At 45.8% G+C, this 26,109-nt stretch overlaps 1 protein-coding gene across 3 annotated transcripts in view, besides 3 other annotated features; it reads right to left on the bottom strand.

Moving 5' to 3' along the window:
• Positions 638 to 1,154: an enhancer, noted in NCBI's record as "H3K27ac-H3K4me1 hESC enhancer chr15:64437862-64438378 (GRCh37/hg19 assembly coordinates)". NCBI's record gives its function as "activates a minimal SCP1, AML or CMV promoter by ChIP-STARR-seq in primed H9 embryonic stem cells {active_cell/tissue: H9 hESC(primed)}" and the evidence as "EXISTENCE:reporter gene assay evidence [ECO:0000049][PMID:30033119]".
• Positions 2,020 to 2,109: an enhancer, noted in NCBI's record as "active region_9559". NCBI's record gives its function as "activates an Ori minimal core promoter by ATAC-STARR-seq in GM12878 lymphoblastoid cells {active_cell/tissue: GM12878}" and the evidence as "EXISTENCE:reporter gene assay evidence [ECO:0000049][PMID:35858748]".
• Positions 2,130 to 2,439: an enhancer, noted in NCBI's record as "active region_9558". NCBI's record gives its function as "activates an Ori minimal core promoter by ATAC-STARR-seq in GM12878 lymphoblastoid cells {active_cell/tissue: GM12878}" and the evidence as "EXISTENCE:reporter gene assay evidence [ECO:0000049][PMID:35858748]".
• The window catches only part of SNX1 (sorting nexin 1), a 48,250-nt gene continuing 24,726 nt past the window's right edge, over positions 2,586 to 26,109 (bottom strand). For 2 of the 3 annotated variants that reach the window (NM_003099.5, NM_148955.4), the window contains 11 exons: positions 23,271 to 23,314; positions 20,597 to 20,738; positions 19,565 to 19,643; positions 19,011 to 19,086; positions 16,788 to 16,901; positions 16,496 to 16,589; positions 14,925 to 15,130; positions 12,010 to 12,153; positions 10,407 to 10,487; positions 9,885 to 9,956; positions 2,586 to 9,249 (listed from right to left, as the gene is read on the bottom strand). In NM_003099.5, the coding sequence (NP_003090.2) occupies positions 9,199 to 9,249; positions 9,885 to 9,956; positions 10,407 to 10,487; positions 12,010 to 12,153; positions 14,925 to 15,130; positions 16,496 to 16,589; positions 16,788 to 16,901; positions 19,011 to 19,086; positions 19,565 to 19,643; positions 20,597 to 20,738; positions 23,271 to 23,314 (1,103 nt within the window). In that variant the 3' untranslated portion in view covers positions 2,586 to 9,198. The remainder of the gene's footprint in view (positions 9,250 to 9,884; positions 9,957 to 10,406; positions 10,488 to 12,009; positions 12,154 to 14,924; positions 15,131 to 16,495; positions 16,590 to 16,787; positions 16,902 to 19,010; positions 19,087 to 19,564; positions 19,644 to 20,596; positions 20,739 to 23,270; positions 23,315 to 26,109) is intronic. The other variant, NM_001242933.2, reaches the window with a different exon arrangement.

Below are 26,109 nucleotides of genomic sequence, written 5' to 3'. Positions count from 1 at the left end.
ACCCTGAGACTGCAAGGTTAGCTTAAAAAAAATTAACAATTTCAACTACTAACACTGCAATAAGGATTTTTCTGATTTCCTCCATATTGTGCAACCAAAAATAGTAAAGAAATAAATTGGAAGCAGAGGTTGATATAAATCACCAACTATGCTGTTCATCAAAACAGCCTCCTACTGTTCACAGAGTTCCTACTGATTACCTTGTTAATAAGTACATTTTATAAACGGAAATAATAAATATAACATTTAAAAACATCATTTTTATGTTTATTAGATTTTGGTGTAACGTGTCTTTTAAAAAGAGTGCTACTAAAAAGCGTTGTTACTGAGTTGGTCCAAACTCTTCACTTCTGTCAACCGGGGGAAGCCAGGCGTGAGGGAGTGGTGGGTACTGGAAGCAGCTGTTAGAACGCACCTCTGACAAGCATGTCCTGCCCAAGTCCTTAGAGCAAAAATTGGTCCAGGACAGGCAGGCCCCAAACCCGGGGCTCCAGCCAGCAATGTCACTTCTAGGAGTCTCCTGTCCCCTGCCCAGATAGGACAGCGGCAGCTCAGCTGCTTCAGACAACACGACTCAGGTCTGGCACAGGGAGAGCTGGCAGAGGCCACCCCACCACTTTGACGGCACAGCTCTCCAGGCTGCGTGTGGTGATACAGCAACTCCCAGTGCCTTTCAGAGCCATGTCAGCCAATCAACCAAGTGGCCCCTCTGGTGTGCCAAGCACTGGGGTTCAAGAAACAAAGACACACTTGGGTCCCTCAAGTAACAGGGGTTCACTGTGAAGAGAGCTGAGGGACCAAGAACTGGGGCAACAGGCAGAAGCCAGGATGGGCAGGAGCTCCAGGCCTCGAGGTCTGGAAGGGAGGTGGCCCTGCCTCATATGCTAGCTGTCCCCAGGGTGCTGGCGGTGGCTTCTCAGCAAGTGGAGTTTTTCATGTCTGCCATTAAGGTCCCCAGCTACTCACCAAAGATGCTTCTGTCTTCCAGCCTCTGCTACTACTCCACTGGGCAACCCCTGCCCATCTGGGGAAAGAATGTCTTGCAGGGGTCAGAGAAGCTCCAATGCTTACCAGGTCAGGTGGGTATCCAAATGGGACTTGTCCTTAACAGGCCTACTGTGTGGATGCCTTCAGGTCTTTAAGAAAACAACTTAGGGCCGGGTGTGGTGGCTCACGCCTGTAATCCCAGCACTTTGGGAGGCCGAGGCGGACGGATCACGTGAGGTTGGGAGTTCGAGACCAGCCTGCCAAAATAGAGAAACCCTGTCTCTACTAAAAATACAAAATTTGCCGGGCATGGTGGCACGTGCTTGTAATCTCAGCTACTTGGGAGGCTGAGTCAGGAGAATCGCTTGAACCCGGGAGGCGCAGGATGCGGTGAGCTGAGATGGCACCATTGCACTCCAGCCTGGGCAACAAGAGCGAAACTCCACCTCAAAAAACAAACAAACAACAACAAAAAAACAAAACTTAGTGGGTTGATTTCCAGGTTCCTCTTGTCTGTCCCCGTCTAAATGTCTACAGTGTGTGGGATAGGGTGTGGCAGAGAGGCCATGCTAAGAGCTTGAGTTCATCTTAGCTATGGGGTGTGACCTGGGCCAGCTGCTTCAGCTCCCTGAACCTGTCCTTAGTGTGGGTCATGAGTGCACCCTGCAGGGTGACAGTGCTGGATGTGAGCTATCTCAGGGCCCAGAGGCAGTTCTTACTATAGTTAATAATTAGGCCCACGAGTGGGAAGGGGCGGTCATGGGCAGTCTGTCCCCTGCTGCGGAACATGCTCCTGGCCGCAGGAGCCTCGTCTATTTTTCTTGAGAGGCTGCCAGTGAAACCTGCGTGTTGGGCCCCTGTGGCTATCGCCACTGCAGCTCATAATGGAAGAGGAAGCAGCGAGCTCTGAAGCCCCGAAGGGGCAGTCATTTGGAAACAGTCACATCTCTTTATGGAAAGGTCCTGTCTCGGATTGGACAGGGTTTTTCTGTTTCTTTTCTGGACCCAGACAAAGAGCATCCTGTGGAAGGCGAGCAGCTGGCTTCCTCTGAGCAGCCTTGGGTGGGTGAAGTTTTCTGCCCCGAGGTCTGGTCATCAGAGCCAGAGGAGCATTTCCACAACAGACAAGGGCCAAAGGGGTGAAAGGCCTGTCTGGGCAAGACTTGTGGGGCCTGCAGGCTTCCCCAGCACACTGAGCACCAGTCTTACCAACCACGGTGAGGCCTATTAAACCTCAAATTAGGCCAGATTTCCGGATCTCTTGAAAAATCCCCAGATCTGGCCTCAGTGACCCACAGGCTTGTATGGCAATGATCTTGAGCCGAGGAGCAGCCACTGCCCCGGAGGCTCCTGTGCAGGTGGTGGAGGACACCAGGATGAGCAGAGACAGTGCAGCCCAGGACCCCAGGGAGTCCAGAGCTCAGGAGGCTACAGAGACCGCCTCAGAGCTGACACCACACAGGAGAGGAAGACCAGAGGCTGAAGAGGACGACAGACGCAGGGCCCAACTCCAGTCCGGGGTAGGGCAGAGGGCGGATCAGGGGAAGCTGCCCAAAGAACAGATATGTGATGCGGGCCTCAAAGGATGCACTGGATTGTTTTCCCATAATGAAAATAGCTTTATTTGATTTTTCTTATTTTAACGATAATACATACAAATTTTAAGCAATACAAAATGGTATTAAAAATTAAAGGTAATGCAAACTTCCATCTCTAGAGGTGACCATAGTTATTAACAATTCAATCAACATCCTTCCCATATATAAAGTTTTATATAAATGTGAATATCATGCAATTCTATAACCTGCTTTTTTCACTAAAAAATATGAGTTTTCCTTGTCAATGAATATAGCTATATATCATCTTCAATGGCTGTAAAATATTCAACGGTGTAACTGTACCATAATTCATTTAATCCCCTCCTGATGGACATTTCAATTGGCTTCAGTTTTTGCAACTGTAAACAGTGCTATGACGGGCATTTCTGGTTAGTCATCTTCAAGGATTTGGTTTCTAGAAGTGCCTATGAGGATCCTCAGTGAATGTTCTGACACACAGGCAAATGCTTCACATCTCCTTACACTTATATTCCCATCTAGGGCATTGGAAAATGCCTGCTTCAGACAGGTGTAATTCTGAGAATGAAGATGGGGAAGGGAGAAAGGGTGCTTAAGGTACCAAGCCCAGCATTAACCCAGCCTCCTCGGGCCACACAGAAGTGAGAAGTAGCACATTTGCAATCAGTTTCCATGAGGTGTCGGCGCTGTTGGGAAGGACTGGGAGATAAAGAGGGAAAGGTGAGCTGGGTCCTTTCACAGACAGTATGAACGCCAGGTGGCAGAGCCTGCAACTGGGGAACAATCATTCAACAGTTATCTATTTGACACCTGTTTTGAGCCTGAACCTTTGCTGGGGCCCATGGAGTTATAAAGGCGTAAGACCCCAGAGTTTAGCATTTGGTGGAGACTGTAAATCACCCAACTTTATCACAAGATGCAGTTATCGGCAGGTGACACATGCACCAGAAGACAGGCTTCAGTTGTTCTTGTCCATTTATCTCAGATCAGGCACGACCCTGTCCAAACATGGAGCAGAGAATCTTAGCCAGTGTCTCCAAAGACAGAGTGTACATCCAGGCATGTGCGCACTGTAGCACAGATGTGTCCTCCTATGTTTGGAGCCAGGGATCCCCATTATCTTCTCCCGCCCTCCCCTTCCCCCTAGGCTGCCAAGTACTGGTGGGGAAAATCCCACCACCTTGGGGCTTGATGTCCTTGAAGTCTATGGGCTTCCCGTGGGCCCTGAGTGTGCTCGGCAAAAGACACGCCCTCCATCACCACACACTCTCCAGCCACATCTTGGCCCCATCCTGAGATTTCCAGGAGTTCCTCCCCTTTTTTAAAACTTGAGTTGCTTCAAAGACTTTTTAGGGTTCCTAGCTACAGGAGCATTCAGAATGAAAATCTTCTGGGAAGAGTTAACAGTTGCTGGTATTTTTGTGTAGGCGACAATTCTTATTCCCGTTTCTCTCATTTATTTTGTCACTGAGTACTGACACTGAATACTGGGATCACACCAGCTCGAAGTCCAGTCCTCATCTTCAGCACTCCGGAGCCCAAACGCTGAACTAGCCAAGGGGAAAGCAGGTTCCATACCTTTTATCTAAAAAAACTTGGCTTAAATAGGTAAATATGACATTCCTATCTCAGAAAATTTTAATTATCAAGCATGAAACTTCCCCTCTTCGGCCTCCCCTCCACCTACAGATTCTTTCCTGTGGCCTCAGCAGTGAGGCACCCTCTGAACACAGGTCCCCTTCCTGTGCTCTGGACCCCATTTTCTTCCAAACATGGCTCTGATAGTCATTCTCTTTCTCTTCTCTGAATTTTATTAACATGCTTAAGTTTGTCCCACCTTTAAATAAAACAAAGCCTCCTTTAACTCTATCTCCCCTACTTAAAGCAACTGGCCTCCCTTCCCATCCAGAGCTGCTTTTTTTTTTGAGACAAGATCTTGCTCTGTCACCTAGGCTGGAGTGCAGTGGCGCAACTGTAGCTCACTGCAACCTCAACCTCCTGGGCTCAGGTGATGTTCCCGCGTAGCTGGGCCTACAGGCATGCACCACCACACACCCAGCTAGTTGTTTTTATTTTTGTAGGGACAGGGTCTCACTATATTCCCCAGGCTGGTCTCAAATTCTTGGGCTCAAGTGATTCTCCCACCTCGGCCTCCCAAAATGCTAGGAATACAGGCATAAGCCACTGTGCCTGGCCCAGAGCCGCTTCTTAAAACACCTTCAGCACTCACTGCCCCCACCACTGCTTCCCCTCCCATCTGCCCCAAACCTATTGCCTCATGTGTTACAAAGGGTTTCATTGTCTGCCCAGTGTCTGGGCCAGAAGCTTGCGGGGCATCCTAGCTACCTCCCTCTCCCCTCAAGCCTCTCATCAAATCAAGGACCGATCTCAGTGGTTCCGAAACTCTCCTGAGCTCTGGCCCCACCATACCTGCCCTTTTCAGCTCTCCTGAGGGTAGGGATAAGCCTGGCTGCTCTTCCTGCCTCCAGTCTCACGCCTTCTGGTGTGTCCAGATCACGAAGCGACAATGGTAATGTGGAAAGCGCCTCCCAGGTCCTATCAGACACCCATGTGATGTGGCTCCTGCTCGTTTTTCTCCATGGGCCTCACTGACTTTACCCTACACCAAGCCACTTGACATTTCCCTAGATGCGCCTACCTCACCCTGCCAGACAGACAGGGAGGCAGAAGCAACAAACACTTTTACACCTTTTAGACTCAGTTCAAGCATCAGGTTCTCCACAAAGTCCTCCCTCCTGGGTCCCCAGCTGGAATACCACCTTCTTCCTTTGTGCTCCTGTTATTCCTTGTAGAGGCTTCTGGCTCAGTACCCCTAACCCACTACTGGCCTACTTGATTTCCACACGTGCAAGCTCTTTACAAAAATGCACAAGCCCTAAAGACAACTGGCCCCGCCAGCCTCAGGATACAGGAAGCAGAGGAGGAAGTTCTGAAACCAGAGGAGACATCATTCCAAGGAAATAAGAAAAACAGACTTACGTCAGAATGATCATTAGATGGAACTTAACAAAGCAACCTGAAATCTTTGTCTCTCTGGAGGAAAGAGTTAACAACATGGAAAAGGGGGCAGACTGGAATAAACCTACAGGGCTGGTCTCAAAGCATCAGTGTGAATTCATGATTTTTAGTATCTATTTATGTCAGGTATCTCTAACCTATCTTGTTTCTACAAATCAATCAATCTATCTATCTATCTATATCTATCATCTATCTATCTATCTATCTATCTATCTATCTATCTATCTATCATCTCTTTGCACTGTATGGTGAGAGCCTAGAGGCAATGACATTCCAGTAACAAGCAGCACATTTGGCACCCAGATCTTGGTTTCTAAATAACATTCTCTGGCTGGGTATGGTGGCTCACACCTGTAATCCCAGCACTTTGGGAGGTTGAGGTGGGCAGATCACCTGAGGTCAGGAGTTCGAGACCAGCCTCCCCAACATGGTAAAACCCCCATTTCTACCAAAAATGCAAAAATTAGCTGGGTGTGGGGGCAGGCACCTGTAATCCCAGCTACTTGGAAGGCTGAGGCAGGAGAATTGCTTGAACCTGGTAGGTGGAGGTTGCAGTGAGCTGAGATTGTGCCATTGCAATCCAGCCTGGGCGACAAGAGCGAGACTCTGTCTCAAAAATAGTAATAATAATCAAATCAAATAAAAATAAATAAATACCATTCTCCATTATAAGGAACCAAGACTCCCTGGAGAAATGGCTGATTCCAGGGCTAGGGTAGGGAACATTCAAGATGAGCCTGGAACATCTTGTTATGCCAGAAGGTAAGAAAGTACTCAAAACATGATGGGAGCAAGCTACAAACACACAAGAGGCCGCTATAAATCTGGGACAATTTGAGAATCAAGATAAAATCAAAGCAATGGCTTGCAACTCTGAGTAAAACAGGAATCCCTGCATCCATATTGATAAACAAGTGAATAAATAAATGGTGAGAAAGGATGTTTTTCTTTGTATGTAGAATGTCAACCAATAAATGTAGAAGGCATTATGGAGTTAGGAAATCATGTTGGTCAATCATGACAGTAATAACTGGGACAAGACTAATCAACTGATACTATATAACTGGTGAATGAGGAACAAAATACTTATATAGTCTCAAAGTATCTCCCCACAAATTACTTGTAAATTACAAAGAGGAAATCGTAAATTTAAAATGAAATCTGGCAGACACCAACCTAAGCGGTGAACAGAGTTAACAACATTAATGGGACCAACTGACATTATATGCTGATTACGACGCACTGACGACACACTGCTTCTGTGATATTCCCACCCAGAATGCAAAACCCTCACCTAGTCATGCGGAACCATCACACAAATCCAAACTGAGGAACATTCGACAAAATAGCCTGTATTCTTCAAAAATGTCATGGTAATGAAAGACAAAAGAAAGTTGAGGAATCTGCAGTATTGAGAGACACACGTTTACAAATGTAACATGATCCTGCACAAGGTAAAAGAATGGCTACAAAGGACATTATTGGGATAAATGGCAAAATTTAAATATGAATCATGGGTTAGATAACAGTATTAAATCACTGTTAAACTTCCTGATTTTGATAATAATACTTAAAAAAATACTGAATAATGCTTAAAGTAATTCTCTTCTTCTCTTAGAAGAGAATGTCCTGTTCTTAGGGAAATGCATACTGTTTTGGGCATAATGGGGTATCTGTGCAAATTATTCTCAAATGATTAAGAAAATGCAACATGAAATATAGATAAGGCAAATGGGATAAAATGTAAACACTCAGTAAATCTGGATAAAAGATATATAGGAGTTCTTTGTGATATTCCTGCAACTTTTCTGTAAATCTGAAATTGTATTCAAAATTTTAAAGTTACCAATAAAACAAAACAAACAACCCCTGACCAAGAATCCAACAACAAGGGATGAATCAAAATTATGGTACAGTCACCCTATGGATGCCTTCAAATTACACAGCTTTACAGATCAACTTTGTGAAGATATATAACAATATAGTAAAATGCTTATAACATGTACAATGTTGAATGATAAAAGCAGGATACAAAATACTTTATGTGTATATTATTACAACTATGTAAAAGCAAGCATATAATAAAGACTGGAAGGATAAAACCAAAGTTGATGGTAAGGATACTGAGGGGTAGGGAGAGTGACTTTTTCCAAAAACTTCACCTGTTAAAAAGAAATACTTGCACCACTGGCCCTTCCCCTGGTGCTGCATCTGTGTACAGGGAATCAGAATGTTTACTGCGTTTTCTTGTCTCAGGTTGCCTCGCCCCAAACCTTAGCCCCCCACCAAAGAGAACTGATACAGCAGGACCTGGGGCCCCAGTGGCAGGAGCGTCTTTGGGATGGAGGGGCTGGAGGTGGCAAGGCTCCCATAGTGGCAGTCAGCAGCTCGAGCTCACAAAGGAGCTTCAAAGCCCACTCTGACCAGTATAGCTTGAGCAGCTGTGGACACAGCTAAGGGGGAAGCCCATCCTTGACTGACGAGACTCTGGCCTCCCCTGGCTAGACCGGCAGAGATCTGTGTGAACACCCTTTGGCTGTGTGTGCAACTCCTGAGGGCTCTTGCTGGCAGGCTACCTCCTGGGCACAGACAGTAGAGCTTCTTTGAACCTCCTAAGGTTCAGGAGCTCTTGGATCACCCTATCTAGAGGCAGAGGGCATGGCTTTCATGTCTATGGAGACAAAGCATCAAGTCATTATCAGACCTTCACACCTTCACACAGTCTACTGAGGATGTGTTTTGATGGGTGACAAAAATAGGTTTAGTTATATATAAGACTTGCCATCAGAGGGCAAGACTCAGAGAACCCTGAGCAGCTTAGGGAAGCAGGAAGAATAAAAGAGAAAGGCTCTTGCTTAATGATAGGGACACCAAAAAAAAAAAAAAAAGAGAGAGAGAAAGTCTCTGCCTCCTTTGCAGGAGAATAGGTTTTAATAGATTTTGCTCCTCTTATTTTAAGAGATGTTTTTAAAACTCCTTCCCTAAAGAAGTGGGAATACGAAACAGATTGAGACCCTCAGAACAGGTAGCTGAGGTAGGCGGAGAGAAAGAAACCCCATTTCCAGAGGGAAGCAGCAGCACAAAACTTGTGAACGGTAGAGAAAAACTTACTATACCTGGGCAACTTCTTGGTTAGGAGTATTCCAGACCTGATTCCCAACTGCTCCCCAGCCTAAGCAAAAACCACCAACATTCTGAGTCATGTGACCTGATTTTAAAATATTTTATTACATAACCTTTTCATGGCACCATCAGGAGTAACAGAAAACGTTATTCCCAGTTCCTAAACCACATCCTGAAAAATATACATTTGTATTTATATATTTATATCAATACTCCACCCCATCCCATAATTCCACCACCTATTGTAGGTCTTTTGCTTAAAGCAGGAAACTATTCTCTTAGGTAAGAAAATATATATGGAAGCTAAATGAAATAACGGTTAGAGTAACTGGGGACAGTTGGTCGTGGGGACAGGGAGGAAGGGGTTAAGTCCAGCCTAGGCAGGATGCATCACTAGGGGTCCATCAAGGTGGAGGAGGACAGTGTATAAAAAGGCAGCGTCACACAGGTGGGCTCTGGGGTCCTTGGTCCATTAGGAGATGGCCTTTGCCTCAGGAAGGAAGGCTTCCCAGTACTTTGCCAGCTGCAAAGAAGTGGGGACATTAAGCAAGTGCCCCCACCTAGTGGCAGAGCCTAAGCCAGCCTGGGAGGAATCAAGCACAGTACCCTGGCGCTCCCCAAGCGCCTGCCACACAAAGGCAGGCTCCGAGCAGCTGCACAGGCCACATGACCTTCACACCTCCCTCTCGACAGGGAAGGCAGCAGTTACTGAGCCCCAAGTGCAAGGGCAGTCTCTGAAGACAGTCTTGGCTCCACCCCAGAGGGAGCACCCCTGTGGTGGCCACAGCTTTGCCTGGCTCAGTTAGTTCCTCACAGTGGGGCCACTGTTTCACATACCGATGAGGCCTCAGCCTCAGGAGGGCCAGGTGGTACCATGGGGTGGCTCCTCGAAGGGTAAGCAGTTACAGGGAGATGGGGTTTGTCCTCAAAAACTAACTCACCTCAGAATGAGGGCAGCAGACCTGGGCCCTCCTGCTTGGTAAAAGACCCTGTTGGATGCTCCATGTCAGAGCAGCAGGACCTATTTTCAATGATGGACTATAGGAGGGCCCAGCCCCTCAGAAGCAGGGCCTGCACATCTTGTTGCAGAAGCCCCGAGGAGGCAGCTGGCCTTTGGAGCAGGCAGTAGAGGATGAAGGTCACACACAACTTACATACCTGCTGCTGTGAGTAAAGGAGTGTCTCAAGGTACTTGATCACGTGGTTCTTGAAGTCCTTGGATTTCTCTTTCTAGGAGACAAGATTCTACACTGACCATCCAGTTTTTGCTTTCCCTTTCGATGGGATGGTGGTGTTTATTGCTGACCAAGGCCAAACACAGTCTCAGAAAGTAGAGGCAGCAGGTGGAACAGCTGTAATTTCCAGCCAAAGAGGGTCTGCCAAGGCCTTGAAAGGCTTTGTTGGAGGGCAGGAGATGGGAAGTGGAGGAGAAACGACAGGGGACCGAGGGTATATGGCAGCTGCAAGATTTGTGTTTAACTGCTGTGGTCCAGCCACAAGTGTAAGATTGCCACTGTTCCTAGGATCAAGCACACACCCCCCCAAAGAAGGCCACGCCTGCTCACGAGAACTGCCAAGTTACTGGCACCTCTCTCTTTACCCAACAGAGTTGGACAACACCAAGAGTACTCCCAAAACAAGCACTGCATGCTAAGTGAGAAGTAGGATTTTCTATCTCACCTCAAACCGTATCACTTCTTTTCGGACCACTGTTGAAATCCTCTCGAAGTCCCTTTCATATTGAGTCACCCGAGACTCCCACTGGGAAGAAAGAGGAAAGAAAGGATCACCTCATATTATGGCACCATTATTAAGCCTTCACATTTGGACAGCGATTTTACATATGAGGGCTCAATTGATCATTATGTCTGTCTGTCCCTGTGGGTAAGATGAGGTGTCACAGAGGATTCCACACGTAAGTCAGAGTCCGGCAGAAGGCTACTTTAGGGGCTGACTGGAAAAGAGATGCCTGTGTTTCAGGCATCTGGGACCAAGTGTGGTCCTTCAAGAAGGCTCTGACATGCCAGCAGCCTCCAGTTTAGGTACTCACCAGCAGGGCTGAAAGGCCTGGAAAACTTAATTTAGTTCTCACGAGAAGGCATATCTGAATCAGCTAGGTAGCTTTTCAAAGACCCAGCCAGGACCCCTCCTGCCAAGATTTTTTTTTTTGAGATGGAGTCTCGCTCTGTCATCCAGGCCGGAGTACAGTGGTGCGATCTTGGCTCACTGCAACCTCTGCCTCTCAGGTTCAAGCGGTTCTCGTGCCTCAGCCTCCTGAGTAGCTAGGACTACAGGCGTGTGCCATCACGTCTAATTTTTTTTTTTTTTTTTTTGAGACAGAGTCTTGCTCTGTTGCCAGGCTGGAGTGCAGTGGCGTGATCTCAGCTCACTGCAACCTTCGCCTCCCAGGTTCAAGCGATTCTCCTGCCTCAGCCTCCTGAGTATCTGAGACTATAAGTGGGTGCTACCACGCCCAGCTAATTTTTGTATTTTTTTTAGTAGAGACGGGGTTTCACCATGTTGGCCAAGATGGTCTCAATCTCTTGACCTCGTGATCCACTCACCTTGGCCTCCCAAAGTGCTGGTATTACAGGCGTGAGCCACCGTGCCCAGCCCTGGCTAATTTTTTGTATTTTTAGTAGAGATGGGGTTTTACCATGTTGGCCAGGCTGGTCTAAAACTCCTGACCTCGGCCGGGCGCGGTGGCTCACGCCTGTAATCCCAGCACTTTGGGAGGCCGAGGCAGGTGGATCACAAGGTCAGGAGATCGAGACCATCTTGGCTACTAACACGGTAGTACAAAAAATTAGCCAGGTGTGGTGGCAGGAGCCTGTAGTCCCAGCTACTTGGGAGGCTGAGGCAGGAGAATGGCGTGAACCCAGGAGGCAGAGCTTGCAGTGAGCTGAGATCGCGCCACTGCACTCCAGCCTGTTGACAGAGCGAGACTCCATCTAAAACAAAAACAAAAACAAACAAAAAAAACCTCTGACCTCAAGTGATCCGCCCACCTTGGCCTCCCAAAGTGCTAGGATTACAGGCGCGAGCCACCATGCCGGGCCAGAGATTCTGATTTGACAAGTCTGCGTAGAGTAGAAAAAGAACAGGGGGACTAGGCCTCAGGAAGGCCTGGAGTCATTCTCAGAGGCTTCCTCAGCAGCCACGGCCCTTTAGACTCAATCAGCGCTCTTCCCCCTGTGGGGTTCCAAACCTCTGGGTGGGATGGGCCCTGGGTTCATTTGGAACCAGCAGAACACCCCTGGCTGGGCTGCCTCAGTGGACTCACCTCGAGGATCTCGTCCTTGGCCTGCTGCAGCTTATCAGGCTTGTTGGCCCACAGCAGCCGAGCCTCGGCCTCCCGCTTCTTCTGCAGTGTGGCTTGGGCATCCTGCCAGCGCTGCCATGTCTTCATGCGCTGGTCGAAGGCAGCCTGTGGGGGTGGGGTTGAGGAGGAGCACAACCAGCTCTTCAAGAGCTCTGCTGGCTCTGCCTCGAGGCAGGCTCTCCCAGCAGCTGCACCAGGGACAGACTGAGCAAGGGCAGGTTCTGCAGCCACATGTTAGTGCCCAGCTGGGAAGTTTAATGTCTAGGAGCAAAGCTTGGGTAAGACTCCTCTCCAAGCTTCCAGAAGGCCAGTGCCATGCTGCTTCATGCTACTCCCAGGGCTGGATGGCAGGGATCCAGTAGGTGGCCTCATGCCAGTGACCAATACTATGGCTTACAGAAGTGCCTCCCTCAGATCAGTCAGTTCATAAGGCTACATACTTTCCCTGAGTGCCTGCCATGTGCCAGGAGCTAAGAATACAGTGGATGAAACTCATGGTCCCATTTTCATGGAACTTGTCATCTAATGGAAAAGGCCAACATTACATTTACAATTACAAATAGATACAAGTATGCAGACTACTGGGAAAGCAGCAGGGTACTATAACATGAAACCAGAGGCCTAGCTTAGCCTGGGAAATATGTCAGGGAAGTCCACCCTAAGGACCCAGCCTTTAAACTGACACCCAAATAATGCACAAGGTTAGCTTAACAAATCTTTAAATCAACACCTAAAACCACCATAGGGCCACATTGCTTTTTCCCAACCACACACTCACCTGCTCTAGGCTACCAAGGCCTCCAAGAAGCTCCCCAAAATCTATTTGCTAGTTTTCCTTGTTTCCAGTTCCTTGACCACAATCAGCATTTCCAGGGAAGGAAGCTGCTGGCCTGACTAACCACGCCCACCCGGACTTGCTTAATAGGCCCCAAGCAGCAGCCTGGATCAAGGATCTGTGCCTGGGGCCAGCCGCCCAGCCGGGTTCCAGCGGCTCCCTCACTGCCCTGCAAAAGTTCCCCGAATATTTTCTTTTTAGACGGAGTTTCACTCTTGTCACTCAGGCTGGAGTGCAATGGCGCGATCTTGGCTCACTGCACTGCAACCTCCACCTCCTGGTTTCAAGCGATTCTCCTGCCTCAGCCTCCTGAGTAGCTGGGATTATAGGCACACACCACCACGCCCAGATAATTTTTGTATTTTTAGTAGAGATGGGGTTTCGCCACACTGGCCAGGCTGGTCTCGAACTCCTGACCTCAGGTGATCCATCTGCCTCAGCCTCCCAAAGTGCTGGGATTACAGGCGTGAGCCACCACGCCCCAACCTTCCCTGCATATTGTCTATGCCTCCTCAGCACAGGCTTTTGCCAAAACTTGAACCTTAGGGAATGCAATGCCACCAAATTCACCTGCCCCAGGATTGTCACTGCTGCTACCCTGCAGCATCTTAACACCTCAATGTCAAAAGATTAGGTAAAGGGCAACCTCTTATCTGAGTTAGTTAGACTCAAGCCCAACCCACTGGCCTAACAGTGGTCCGGCTCCATGCTCAGGGAAGAGCAGAAAAGAAACCTTTGCTCTTCTCTCCAATCCCACCACCAGGCTCATAAGCATGAGGTAGGCAGATGAAGGGTCTCTGAGAAAAGACCATTCGCAATTATGTGCCATGAGGCACACTTCCCCAGCCCCAGCCCATGTAGCTCTAAGCAAGGCCCTCACCCCTGTGGTACAAGCTCACTCTGCCTGGGGGCCATATCCAAGAACTGTGCTCTCCAGAGACCCCAAACAATGCTCCTCATAGAAAGCTTCCCCCAGAGGGTGCCCTTCCTGCAGCTGGCTCTCCAGTCTAAGTAGCCTGCCCAGTTCTAAGAATTACATAGCAGGTAGACTCATCACTCTGGAGTTAGCAGCAAACCAAATAGCAATGGGAGAGGACAATGAGCAACCTTCCAGGCTCTATGAGGCATCTCCACCACGGGGTAAGTGACAGCCTGGGAGCAGCTCAGCTCCTGACACAACGCACAAGCTCCCTAATGGGAGATATGTTGGGGACGGGGAACGAGCGGGGGGCACTGTTCTAACTCTGAGGCTCACACATCCTGATCCCAAGCGAAATCAAGGACAGACTTAGGCCCTTAGAGTGTAGGTGCCAGGCTTCCTCTTGGTTCTTTCCTCTGTCTTAGGGAGGCCATGCGACAGCTAATACTACTGTCAAAATTCCTTAACCTTAATCACTAGGAGTGCTCACGGGGAAACCACACTGCTTGATCACCAGGAGAAAGAGTGAGGTGCTTGACGAGGGGCAGGCTGGAATGTTACCAGTGTGGGGTGACACAGCACAGGAAGGCTCTGGTGACAAGCTCTCTCAGTCCCCTGGCCGCACTCCTCCATGCAATGCCAAGCCAGTTCCATGTAGTTACCTGACTGCCCATACTGGAAGGACAAGTGGAAGTCAGCAAGAGCTCTTAACCAGGGCAAAGCCACCAGTTACTGTTAAGGAGGCAAAGACCAAAGGACTGAGGAAGTCACTGCTCCAGGGGACCAAGAGAGTAGGTCTGTAAGCAACCTTGCTTCAAGAAAGGACCACAGAAGACACTGTCTGGCCTCAACAATAAAGGGCAACCTATTCGGAAATTCAAGAGTGGTCTTTTCTCCAAATGCCATCTAGGAATCTTGGCTGTGGGGCTCAAAATGATTCAGTGATAACTAGCTAACAGGTGAATAGATTGCTTGGTTTACAGGATACCTTTCCTCTTAAAAGTAGAAAAAGTGACACCTATTTACAAGCTATAATGGGATGAAACTGTCTTGGGAAGGGGACCAGCAAAGGAAAAACAAATCAAATCAAGGGAAGGAGGAGAAAAGGAAACAGAAGCTTACGCGGACTATGGCCAGGAGGCGAATGTAGTCACTCAGGAGCTCAGCAAGGAGGAAGAAGTCATTGTTGGCCTGTTCCTGGTGGAGCTGCTCAATTTTTTCTTCCACCTCAGCCAGCTGGGAGAGTGCCCGTGACAATGCCGTGTTGTCCTCAGAGCTCCCAAGCATGGCTAGACTCTTTGCAAACTGGGCTGTGTTCAGCGCTAGCTCTGGAAGGAGGAAAAGACAGCAGAGGCCTCTCTGATCTCACAAGGAAAAGGGACAAATCAGCTGACACTGCATGGCATGTCTTAGCAATGCCGCCCACTGCATATCTGGGAACTGAGGGCTCTGCAACCCAGTCACTTACACCACAGTTAACTGTATTCAGAGAGTAAAGAGAATGTGGCCTGGTCACAGGAGCAGGAGGGAGAGGCACCAGCTGTCCTGAGTTTCACTGGGTTAGGCCTACCTGAAGGAAGCAGCTCCAATATCCCTGGAGAACCAAAGCCCAGTTGTTAAATAACAAACAGGCCAAAGAAACTATTCTTATATTTATGTTGAAGCTCATGAGTGGTAGCCTCTCTGTACAAGAGAGAAGAGTGAATACATGTGCACATCGTATAGTCTTGCACGTTCTAGAGTAGGGCAAACTTTGTGTAAAGGAGTGCAGTGGCGCCATCTCAGCTCACTGTAACCTCCGCCTCCCGGGTTCAAGCAATTCTCTGCCTCAGCCTCCCAAGCAGATGGGATTACAGATGCCCACCACCACACCTGGCTAATTTTTTCTATTTTTAGCAGAGACAGGGTTTCACCATCTTGGCCAGGCTGGCCTTGAACTCCTGACCTCGTGACCCACCTGCCTCGGCCTCCCAAATTGCTGGGATTACAGGCGTGAGCCACCGCGACCGGCTAATAATAAATTTTTTAGATTTTGAAGGCTACACATAGTCTGCTACAGATTCTTTTCTCCCCTCATTCATTCCTTTAAAAATGTAAAAACCTAAATTTGTAGCTCATGGCAATAGGAACCAGGGTCAGATTTGGCCCATGGGCCAGATTATACTTTGCCAACCCTTACTTACCCTGGCCTCATGCTATGGGTCTTCTGTCTGTTTCAATTTCTAATTATCAGCATGTTTAAGGCAAAGAGGGAAAAGATTCAAACTGGGAAAATTTCACAAGCTCTTAAGCAAATTTCACTAAAGAGAGATGCAGAAGGATTAGGAGACAGGTGGTTTCCTTGCATTTACGCATTGCTGGTTTGACCATGTAGCTCAAGCATGTATGACATCATTTTGGATGTAAGCCATCAAGTCAAAATCAACAGAAGCCCATATCCCAGGTCATGCTGTATCTGGGATGGCTTCCCTGCACCCCTCCCAGGTAGAAAGCACAATGCCCACAGTGGTTGAATCATGTTTTCTGCCAGGAGACACAGGGCATACCTTTTTTTTATCAGAACATCAAGGACCAGGTGGGCTGAGAATTTCAACTTGGATGGCTGAGAGGATTGGAACAGCATGCCCTCGCATCTCCAGTTCACTAGAGACAACAATTTCCCCTAGCTCCAAGTGCATTTCAGAGCTTGTTACCTTTCCTATGGTTGACTAGAGTTTCTACAACAGCATGCAGTTTCCGTAAGCGCTGCTCCTCACACTCTACCTCCTGGAGCTTCTCCTCAAACCACTGAAACACAAAAGCCCAGAACTTTAATGAGATTACTTTTATGGGTGCAGTACAGTCTTTCTTTAGCAGTTGTTTCTCAAAAAGGGACTGAAAAATCTTATAAAAAAGTTTCTAATCTCAGAAATTTCAGGACTCCTTAGGGGTTCTGACCCATAAGCCTGAGGTGTAGGTGGAGGTAAGAGGCACAGGGCTACTCACAATGTCTGATTCATTCATCTTGATGGTCATTTTGCTGACGGCATCTGTGGCTTTGTTGAACATCTTGAGGAGACCAGCACCACTCAATGTCTGGGTACCCACGGCACGTGGCAGCTACAAGACCAAGAAGGCAGGGATGGCAAGTTATCTGCTGCCCCTATTTTAGGTTCAGAAGAATTAGTATCCATCAGATGGCATGCCAAAACTTGCCAGACAAATTATTTGAACTGTAAATTGTTTTCAAAGGCAGTCTGAGGAATCCACAACTAACATGTCCATACAGAAAAATCAAAGAACCATGTTAAAAAGAATCAGCAACATTTTCAGCTTTTGATATTTTATACAGAAAAAAAGTAGACTGGGGTGTTACGTGGCCAGGTGACCTCAAATTGAGATTGTCTGCCTACCCAGGCATGAACTGCTTAAGTACCAAGCATACTCTTGTTAAAAGTCAAAAGTTCCCTTGGATTAGCACACTTTGTACAAAACCAGACTTAAAAGTCTTAAGACACTGAAATCGTGCTGTGTTCGAATTTTCTTCAGTGAACAAATATCCGAGGACAAGAAAATTATTGATTCAGATCAAGGCTACTTTCAGGGATAACCTAGTAGTCAAGCATGCCAAATATTCAGAAACAATCTGATTGCTGTTCAGTCTCCCCAGTACTCTCCTAGGGCATGGAAAGGACGCTGAAAAATCTATAGCATATACAGCACACTATGCTAAAAAGTCAGATTTTAGTGTTCAGGACTCTATGGCAGTAGTTCTTTTTTTTTTTTTTGAGACGGAGTCTTGCTCTTGTCGCCCAGGCTGGAGTGCAGTGGCACGATCTCAGCTCACGGCAACCTCTGCCTCCAGGGTTCAAGTGATTATCCTGCCTCAGCCTCCCAAGTAGCTGGGATTATAGGTGCCCGCCACCACGACCCGCTAATTTTTGTATTTTTAGTAGAGACAGGATTTTGCCATGTTGGCCAGGCTGGTCTCGAACTCCTGACCTCAGGTGATCCTCCTGCCTCAGCCTCCCAAAGTGCTGGAATTACAGCCAAGAGCCACCGCGCCTGGCCTGGCAGTAGTTCTAAACTTGGGGCCACTTTGCTTCCTAGGGGACATTTGGCAATGTCTGGAGATGATTGTGGTTGTTATAACTGGGGAGGGGGTGCTACCTGGATCTAGTGGGTAGGTACCAGGAATGCTGCTAAAACCCTCTACAATGCATAGGACAACCCCTACAACAAAGAACTATCTGACCCAAAGTGTCCACAGTGCTGCTACAGACATACCCTGCTTAGGGGTATGGAGTAAAGACGAGAGGGTGAAAAGGCAGAAGGGATTTAAGAATATCCACAAGAAAAGACTAAAAGATTTGAAGCATTTGACAGGGAATTTTTAATGAAAACATTTCATTTTAGAGGAGAAAACCCCCTCATTTATTTAGTATCATTTTCTTCACTGGAGTAACACATACTACATACAAATGAAAGAAAAATTTAAAAATAAAAATTAAAGCAAAATGATAGCCCTACCCAGTCACTTACTTCCTTCTAGTTTGCTTTCCTGTGAGATAAAACATTTCACTCCAGTGTTTCTTTTGATCCTTAATGACTTACATGTTTCTACAGCTGTATTTATATGCTATTTCATGTTTCAAATTTTGTAATTCTTTTAACATACATGTCCATGTACTAACATTTCTGTATACTTTGTTTATGATGAGAATCAAGTATTTGGTTATATTGATATATTTTACTTAATTCTTCCACTGTTAGCAATTGGGCTGTTTTCAGTTTTTGACAATCATGACTAGCCTACGCATAGCCTGTGAAAGAGACTGTCTACTTCAATCAACACTTTTCCTACATGGTAGTTCTGTGGTTTGTGGTAACTGTTAACCAGTGACCCGCCTGGCATAAAATATACATTCAATCTGAGCCAAGAAGTAACCTACAACATGCCAAGGACCTGCCAAATAGATCACTGTGTTGATCCAGTAAGACAATACTAGGCTGCTATTTGACCCTTACAACCAACTGCTTTTGACTTCGGGCAGAGCTTCTTTTATTTCAAAGGCTGAAAAATACTTGTCACTCTCAGGGGTTCACACAAAACTAGGATACAGTCTAGTACTAGGCATGTTAAGTGCTCACATATTTTTGGAATGAACTAGTTTCGTTTCACTAGGGGCAGATATAAATTATGAAATTCAGTTTGCACTGAATACTAACCTCTTCTTTTTCCAAGAACTCTCTGACGTCAGGGTCCTGTAACATGGTAGGATGATTTACAATCCTCTGAAGGTACCTAAAAGGTAAGCAGTTATCATCTGGTTAGTTGAGCTGGCCTCAGAAGGTTCTGGGCGTCACACAGTGCTGGCAGTGATACCATGTCTTCTGTACTTTTTGTACTTAAAGTACCCTAAGATAAGGTACTTAAGTAGGTCTCTCCTTGTAAGCATATTCAAGTTCACATTCCTGACATTTCCAAAAAGGGAGGGAAAAATAACTGGTCAGAAAGAAACCTCAGAGCCATTCATATTTGATTGATTGTCTAAGAATATGACTGCCTGCTCACTCAGGATGGGGAAAAAACAGAAGATGGTCTATTCTCAAGGTGGGAAAATAAGCGACTCAGGAAAAGTTAAGAGATAATATGGAGGTGTGCAACTTCAATTTATTCACGTTTCATCTCTAACTCAATGGACTGTCTCGTCATTTAGACTCACTTTTCAGCTTTTCATTTGTCCTCACATTATTCAGGAAAATGGCTGCATGGCACTTACCTTTCTAAAGCGGCCCTCCGTTTTTCAAGAAATTCTGCAGAAGAAGAATCTTCCTTCCCAACTTTCACTTTTGTCATCCCTAGAATGGAATTTAAAAAGCAAAATAACCATAAATCATCATGAAGAGGATAAATCTTTTTTTTTTTTAAGTGTCAACAGGAGGAAAGGCAGTGAGGCTAGCACACAGCCTAAGGCCACTTCTATGTTATATGCAGGGATGAACAAAAGGTTCTTTACATGAGAGCCACTTTTGAAAACTAGTCTCTAAGTGCTGAAGGTTCTAAACTCTAGGACTTGCAGAGTAAACATTTTCTTAAAAAGGCGGCCATGGAACCCTGAGTACAAACATCAACTGATGTTAATGAAGAGGCTCCTGGCCGGGCGCAGTGGCACACACCTGTAATCCCAGCACTTTGGGAGGCCAAGGCGGGCGGACCACGAGGTCAAGAGATCAAGACCATCCTGGCCAACGTGGTAAAACCCTGTTTCTACTAAAAATACAAAAATTAGCTGGGCATGGTGGCGGGCACCTGTAGTCCCAGCTAAGCGGGAGGCTGAGGCAGGAGAATCTCTTGAACCCGGAAGGTGGAGGTTTCAGTGAGCTGAGATCGCGCCACTGCACTCCAACCTGGTGACAGAGCGAGACTCCACCTCAAAAACAAACAAACAAACAAAAACCAAAAAACCAACCAAACAAACAAACAAAATGAAGAGGTTTCTTCCTCTGACCCCTAATCCAATGTAGTCTATTTCAATCTGGAGGCAACCGCAATCATGTAAGACTCCTGAAGACCAACAGAAAACAAACGAACATCTCTGGAGGCTAAACCCAGAGCTCCTACTGCACCCAAGGAGAACATGCCAAAATATGCTATTTTTCTCTAGACCTCCAGTGTAGGAAAACACTGGAAATGTCTCTTTTCTAACCACAAGACTGTTAATAGAAGTAGTCTCATATACTGAACAGTGAGTGAATTTTGGAGAGAATGCAAAGGAAAACAATCCAAGTGGAATGAAAGACCACAGGCTTACCTATGAGGCTCTTCTCCGGGGGCGGAGGGACAATGAAGCCATTCTGAGAGTGCTTCTCGGAAAGCTTCTCATAAAGACCCAGAAAGTCACTAAATCTTCTTTTTACTGCAAACTGTTTGCTTCTGAACAATGGTAAGCTTGTCTTGGGGACAGGAAAAAACACAAGGCAATTTCATTCCAAATAGGGGATGGTATCTTGAAAGTCATCCTATTGACATTAAAGAAACCCATTTCCCAGATCCCTGCCCTTCAGTCACCTGGCAAATAACTTTCTCCAAGGCAGAGAGTCTTAAACTTTTTAAAACTATAGTTCCCCTTTGGCAGTCTGGGAGCCTAAGGAGCTCTTCTCAGAATAATGATTTTAAATGCAAAAAATATATAGGATTATAAAGGCAATCAATTAAATTCAAATACATCTGAAGCCATGGTGACCCTTGAGAAAAAAAAATTCAAATACAGTTTCATTCCCAGGTTAAGAACTCTTGTTCTAAAGAAAGAAATGTTCAGTTCTAGTTTAAAGCTAGAATTCTATAGTAACCAGTAACCCATTCATCTTTTATTGACTATTTTTTTTTGGAGACAGGATCTCACTTTGTTGCCCAGGCTGGAGTGCATTGGTGCGATCACAGCTTACTGCAGCCTCAAACTCCTGGGCTTAAGCGATCCTCCCACCTCAGCCTCCCAAGTAGCTAGGAATACAGGCACACGCTACCATGCCCAGCTCATTCTTCACTGCTTTTTTTTTTTTTTTTTTTTGAGATGGAGTCTCACTCTGTCACCCAGGCTGGAGTGCAGTGGTGCAATCTTGGCTCACTGCAACCTCCACCTCCCAGGTTCAAGCAATTCTCTTGTCTCAGCCTCCTGAGTGGCTGGGATTACAGGCTCCTGCCACCAGGCCCAGCTAATTTTTATAGTTTTTTAGTAGAGATGGGGTTTCACCATGTTGGCCGGGCTGCTCTCGAACTCCTGACCTCAGGTGATCCACCTGCCTCAGCCTCCCAAAGTGCTGGGATTACAGGCGTGAGCCACTGCGCCAAGCCTCATTGACTTATTTAAGGGTATTAGCTGCTGGAATTACAGCAGCCAAACTAAAGACAGACAAAAAGTGCTTCTAAGAAGGGGAAGCAGGTGATGAGCAGGGTGGGAATTGGATGAAATGTCTAAGCTGTAGACAGTAACCTCTAAAGTATCATAATCTAGAGCTCACAGGACGCAGGCCAACAAGTAGTAGAGAGACAATACAAAGCAGATTTCTACCAAAAAAGTTAGGGCTACATCACAATGAGAGTTCACTTTAAACTCACCAGATAGGCAAAATTTAAGGAGGTTGGCCTCACCAATTGCTGGCAAGGAAGTGAATCAATGGGAACTTTTATACACTGCTGATGGGGTACAAATTGGTACAAAGACTTTAAAAAACAGTTTGTATTCCTTGTGTCCAATATTTGCAGTACCTATGACCCACGGGAATTACTCCTGGTTACATACTCTAGAGAAATCCTTCTACGTGTGTACTAGAGATGTGCAAGAAAGTTCCCAGTTACAAAAACCAGAAACATGTTGACAGCAGAAAATGTTCACAACAGGAAAACATAAATATTTTGTGGTATATGAACTAACTACAGCCATGACCATCAAGGATGGGTGAGAGAAACAATGCTAAATAAAGCAAGCACAATTATCAGCATGATACTATTTTTTTTTTTTTTTTTTTGAGACAGAGTCTCCCTCTGTCGCCCAGGCTGGAGTGCAGTGGCGCGATCTCGGCTCACTGCAAGCTCCGCCTCCCGGGTTCACGCCATTCTCCTGCCTCAGCCTCCCCAGCAGCTGGGGCTACAGGTGCCTGCCACCATGCCCAGCTAATTTTTTTGTATTTTTAGTAGAGACAGGGTTTCCCTGTGTTAGCCAGGATGGTCTCGATCTCCTGACCTTGTGATCTGCCCGTCTCAGCCTCCCAAAGTGCTGGAATTACAGGCGTGAGCCACCGTGACCGGCCCCCATGATACTATTTTTATGAAACTCAAAACAAAGCAAAACAGTCATATATATATATATATATATATATATATATATGTAAAGATTTCTTATAAAGGAAATGAGAGACAACTCAGGAGAAAGGACACCTCTAAGGTATGAGGCAGGGGATATGATGGAAAAACACGCAGGTGGATCCAATGATACTCAACTTTAAGACTAGTGGTAAGTTTAGGGCTTCATTTATTATGCTTCCTAACTTGTATACAACATTGTATACATTTTGTATGCATTAATATTATATACAAAAGAAGAGCAGACTAGAGGGGCAAAAGGTTAAGTATTTAAAAAAGCTCTCTGAAACCTCAGAAGCATTGAAGATTTTAAAAGATGGTTTAGGGCAATCTGTGAATCTAGCTCCAAACCACATGGTTCTCTAAGAGGGATGGGGCTGTATCAGATATACCACGAGTTAATAGAATCACACTGAAATGTTAGCTTTCTGGAAGAGTATTAAAAAGACTCAGTCTGGAGTACCCAGATGAGATTACCAAGGGGATGCAGGCTTGCTCTATCTTGAGTAAACATGAAGATGTTGGCAAAGAAACAAAGGAGATACCCAGAAATAATCTGAATGATGACCTTGGTATAAGCACCAAAGTCTATGAAGATGGTCATCAGCAGGGTCACCTGGACTCACCTGTGTTGTAACTTTGTAGGCTACATATGCATTCATACCATCCCCTGTGAGAGAACAAGAAAGCAGAAGATTATCTTGTAAACCAAAGCAGTGCCAATCCAGCTAACATTTGACCAGGAATCATAAAAGCCATAGGAACCCTGGATAAGAAGGGATGCTTGTTTCATCTCCAAGCTTTATATGCAATCTTAGAATCCAGTTCCTACTTTGCCTCAGGGCCTCTGTGGCACATAGCAAGCCCCCATGGATGCTGGCTGAGCCCCAGTTTGAGTTACACAAGAGAGTCAGCCCTCTGTTCCAAAGCCAGGCCAGGCTCCATTTATACCCTCCACAAAGCAGCACTGGATACTGACAATCCATCAGTTGTTACCATGCCAATATTTGGGCTGGTTACACACATCTGTCCAAAACCAAACAATTCTCTTGCTGTATAAAGCAGGAGGAGAAGGAAGCAACTGATATAAAAGGAAACAAGTAGTTCTACCCTAGGCTAGCTCTGGGCTCGATTTGCTCTTTCAGAAATATCGTCACAACCCCCTCCATTGGTGCCGGGGGGGACACTGACCTCTCTGATCTAGCATGTTCACCAAGAGCAAAGGGTCTGGCAGGAAGACACTTTGGCTGCCTAATGTCACACAAATCTCCCTTTCCTGGAGCAATTATTTTTATGAAGAAGTCTTTGACTGTTAAATAATTTGGGATTCAAGCTATTGTTTTTCTCTGTGGTGATGTCCTGACCTAGACCACTTAAGGAGATAAAGATGCCATTGATATCCTGAGCACTGAAAAGACATATTCTGGAATCCAAACAGACACAGCTCCAGTGCTGGACTATGGTGTTTGGGGTTGGTTTTGTTCCCTGCCTCCCCCACCCTTGATTCCTTCCCACATCAAACCGGAAAACCTAGGTCAACAGTTACCAGCTGCTTAAGCCCCTGAACTGGTTCTGGGGTGAGGGGTGAGGGGCCAAGGGAAGGAAGAGCAGGCAGTACTGGATCAGCAGCTTCCCACATTACAACTTGGTTTCAGTAAGATGGCTGGAAATGCCTGCTTTTTGAAAAATTTACCAAGAATTTGAAGATTACACAGGAATACAGGGCTTGTCTGCTATACTTCCCCAGCCCCTACCAAAAGGGTGTATATAAAACAGAAACCATAAGCTAAACTTTAGAAATTATTTTATACTGATTACCAACTTTAGTTCTCTTCTAAACCACCTTATTAACATTACCCAATACTACTAAGGATGTTTACTACTGATAAAAGAAAAAAAAAAAAGAAATCTAAGTTTATTTTATAGAAGTAATATTCAAAATTTCATTCACAGCAGAATAGTTATGGTCAAATGTCCAAGAAGTCAATCCCATAATTTAGTGCCTGCAGTTAAGAAAGTCTAAATGCAAACACAGAGAAAACAGAAAAGCAGGATCTTCAGATATTTTGTTTCTCAGCTGCTTTTACTTAGGCAATGTACATGAAAAGAGACATACTGCATGTACATAGAGAGCACACAGATCTGCAAATAAGCTAGTAATACAAGGTTTTAAATTTACGTAAATTTCCAGAATAATTTCAGAGTTGAAGATAACATATGCAAATTACCAAGGCTCTAAAAAGCATATCCTGGTAAAAGTTGAATTCTAAATTATTTAGACGTGTGCAGGAACAAGAAGCACATGTTGAATAAACAGCCCACACAAACAGAATGCGTTGTTATAAAGATCAGGCCTTGAATATGAAAATATTTTAATTAGCTGGTTTCTTGGCATCAACATGACTAAGAATCTAGACTACAGGGCAAGGAGGTGAAAACTTATCACCAAGAGTGATTTGTGTTTAAATGCATCTGATCCATGGGCTGTTTAAATTACTCTCTGTAATGGGATAAATTGTGTCCCCTTCAAAATAGGTACATTTTACGTTCTAACTCCCAGTTCCTCAGAATGTGATCTTACAGGGTCTTTACCGATGTAACTGAGTTAAAATGAAGACATTAGGGTGGGCCCTACTCCACTCAGGTTGGTGTCCTTATTTGTTAAAGAGGGAATGTGCACACAGAGATAGACATGCATAGAGGGAAGGCAATGTGGAGACGCTTAGGAAGGATGCCACATGACAGCAAAGGCAGAGACTGAAGTGATGCATCGACAAGCCGAGGAAGGCCTGAGACTGCCAGAAGCTGGGAGAGAGGCATGAACAGTCCTTCCCTAGCACCTTCACAGGGAGAATGGCCTGCCGACACCAGGATTTGAGATTTCTGGCCTCCAAAACTGTGAGAAATTTCTGTTGTTTTAACCAGTTTGTGGTACTTTGCTACAGCAGCCTTAGGAAACCAGTATGTTCCCTCTCCTGGTTCAGACATCATGACTTATTACATTTTAAGAGAATAAGTGCCATTCATTCATCTTATTCCACCAAGGATTTAAAGCGGTGAATAACTAGCTTAAAATTAATGTGTTTATAGACTATCCATAAATATTAGAGAAGCAAGAGAGAATCTAGACATATAATCCAAAGTCCTGGTCCAGGATCTATCATGGGCCACACTGTGCCCTACCAGGAAAGCTACTTCCTTTTTGGTCCTCAATTTCCTTTTCTGTTAGATGACAGAACTGTGTAAGACGCTCAAAAACATCCTACCAGTCCAACAGTCTGGGAAAAGTAAAACTCAACAGTTCAAATTAAAAAAAAATTTTTTTTCTTTTTGAGACAGGATCTCACTCTGTTACCCAACGTGGAGTGCAGTAGTATTACCTCAGCTCACTGCAGCCTTGACCTTCCAGGCTCAAATGATCCTCCCACCTCGGCCTCCCAAGTACGTGGGACTACAGGCATGTAC

Source organism: Homo sapiens, chromosome 15, assembly GCF_000001405.40.
Source record: "Homo sapiens chromosome 15, GRCh38.p14 Primary Assembly".
NCBI classification, from domain to species: Eukaryota; Metazoa; Chordata; class Mammalia; order Primates; family Hominidae; genus Homo; species Homo sapiens.
This window is presented reverse-complemented; position numbering and strand designations above follow the sequence as displayed.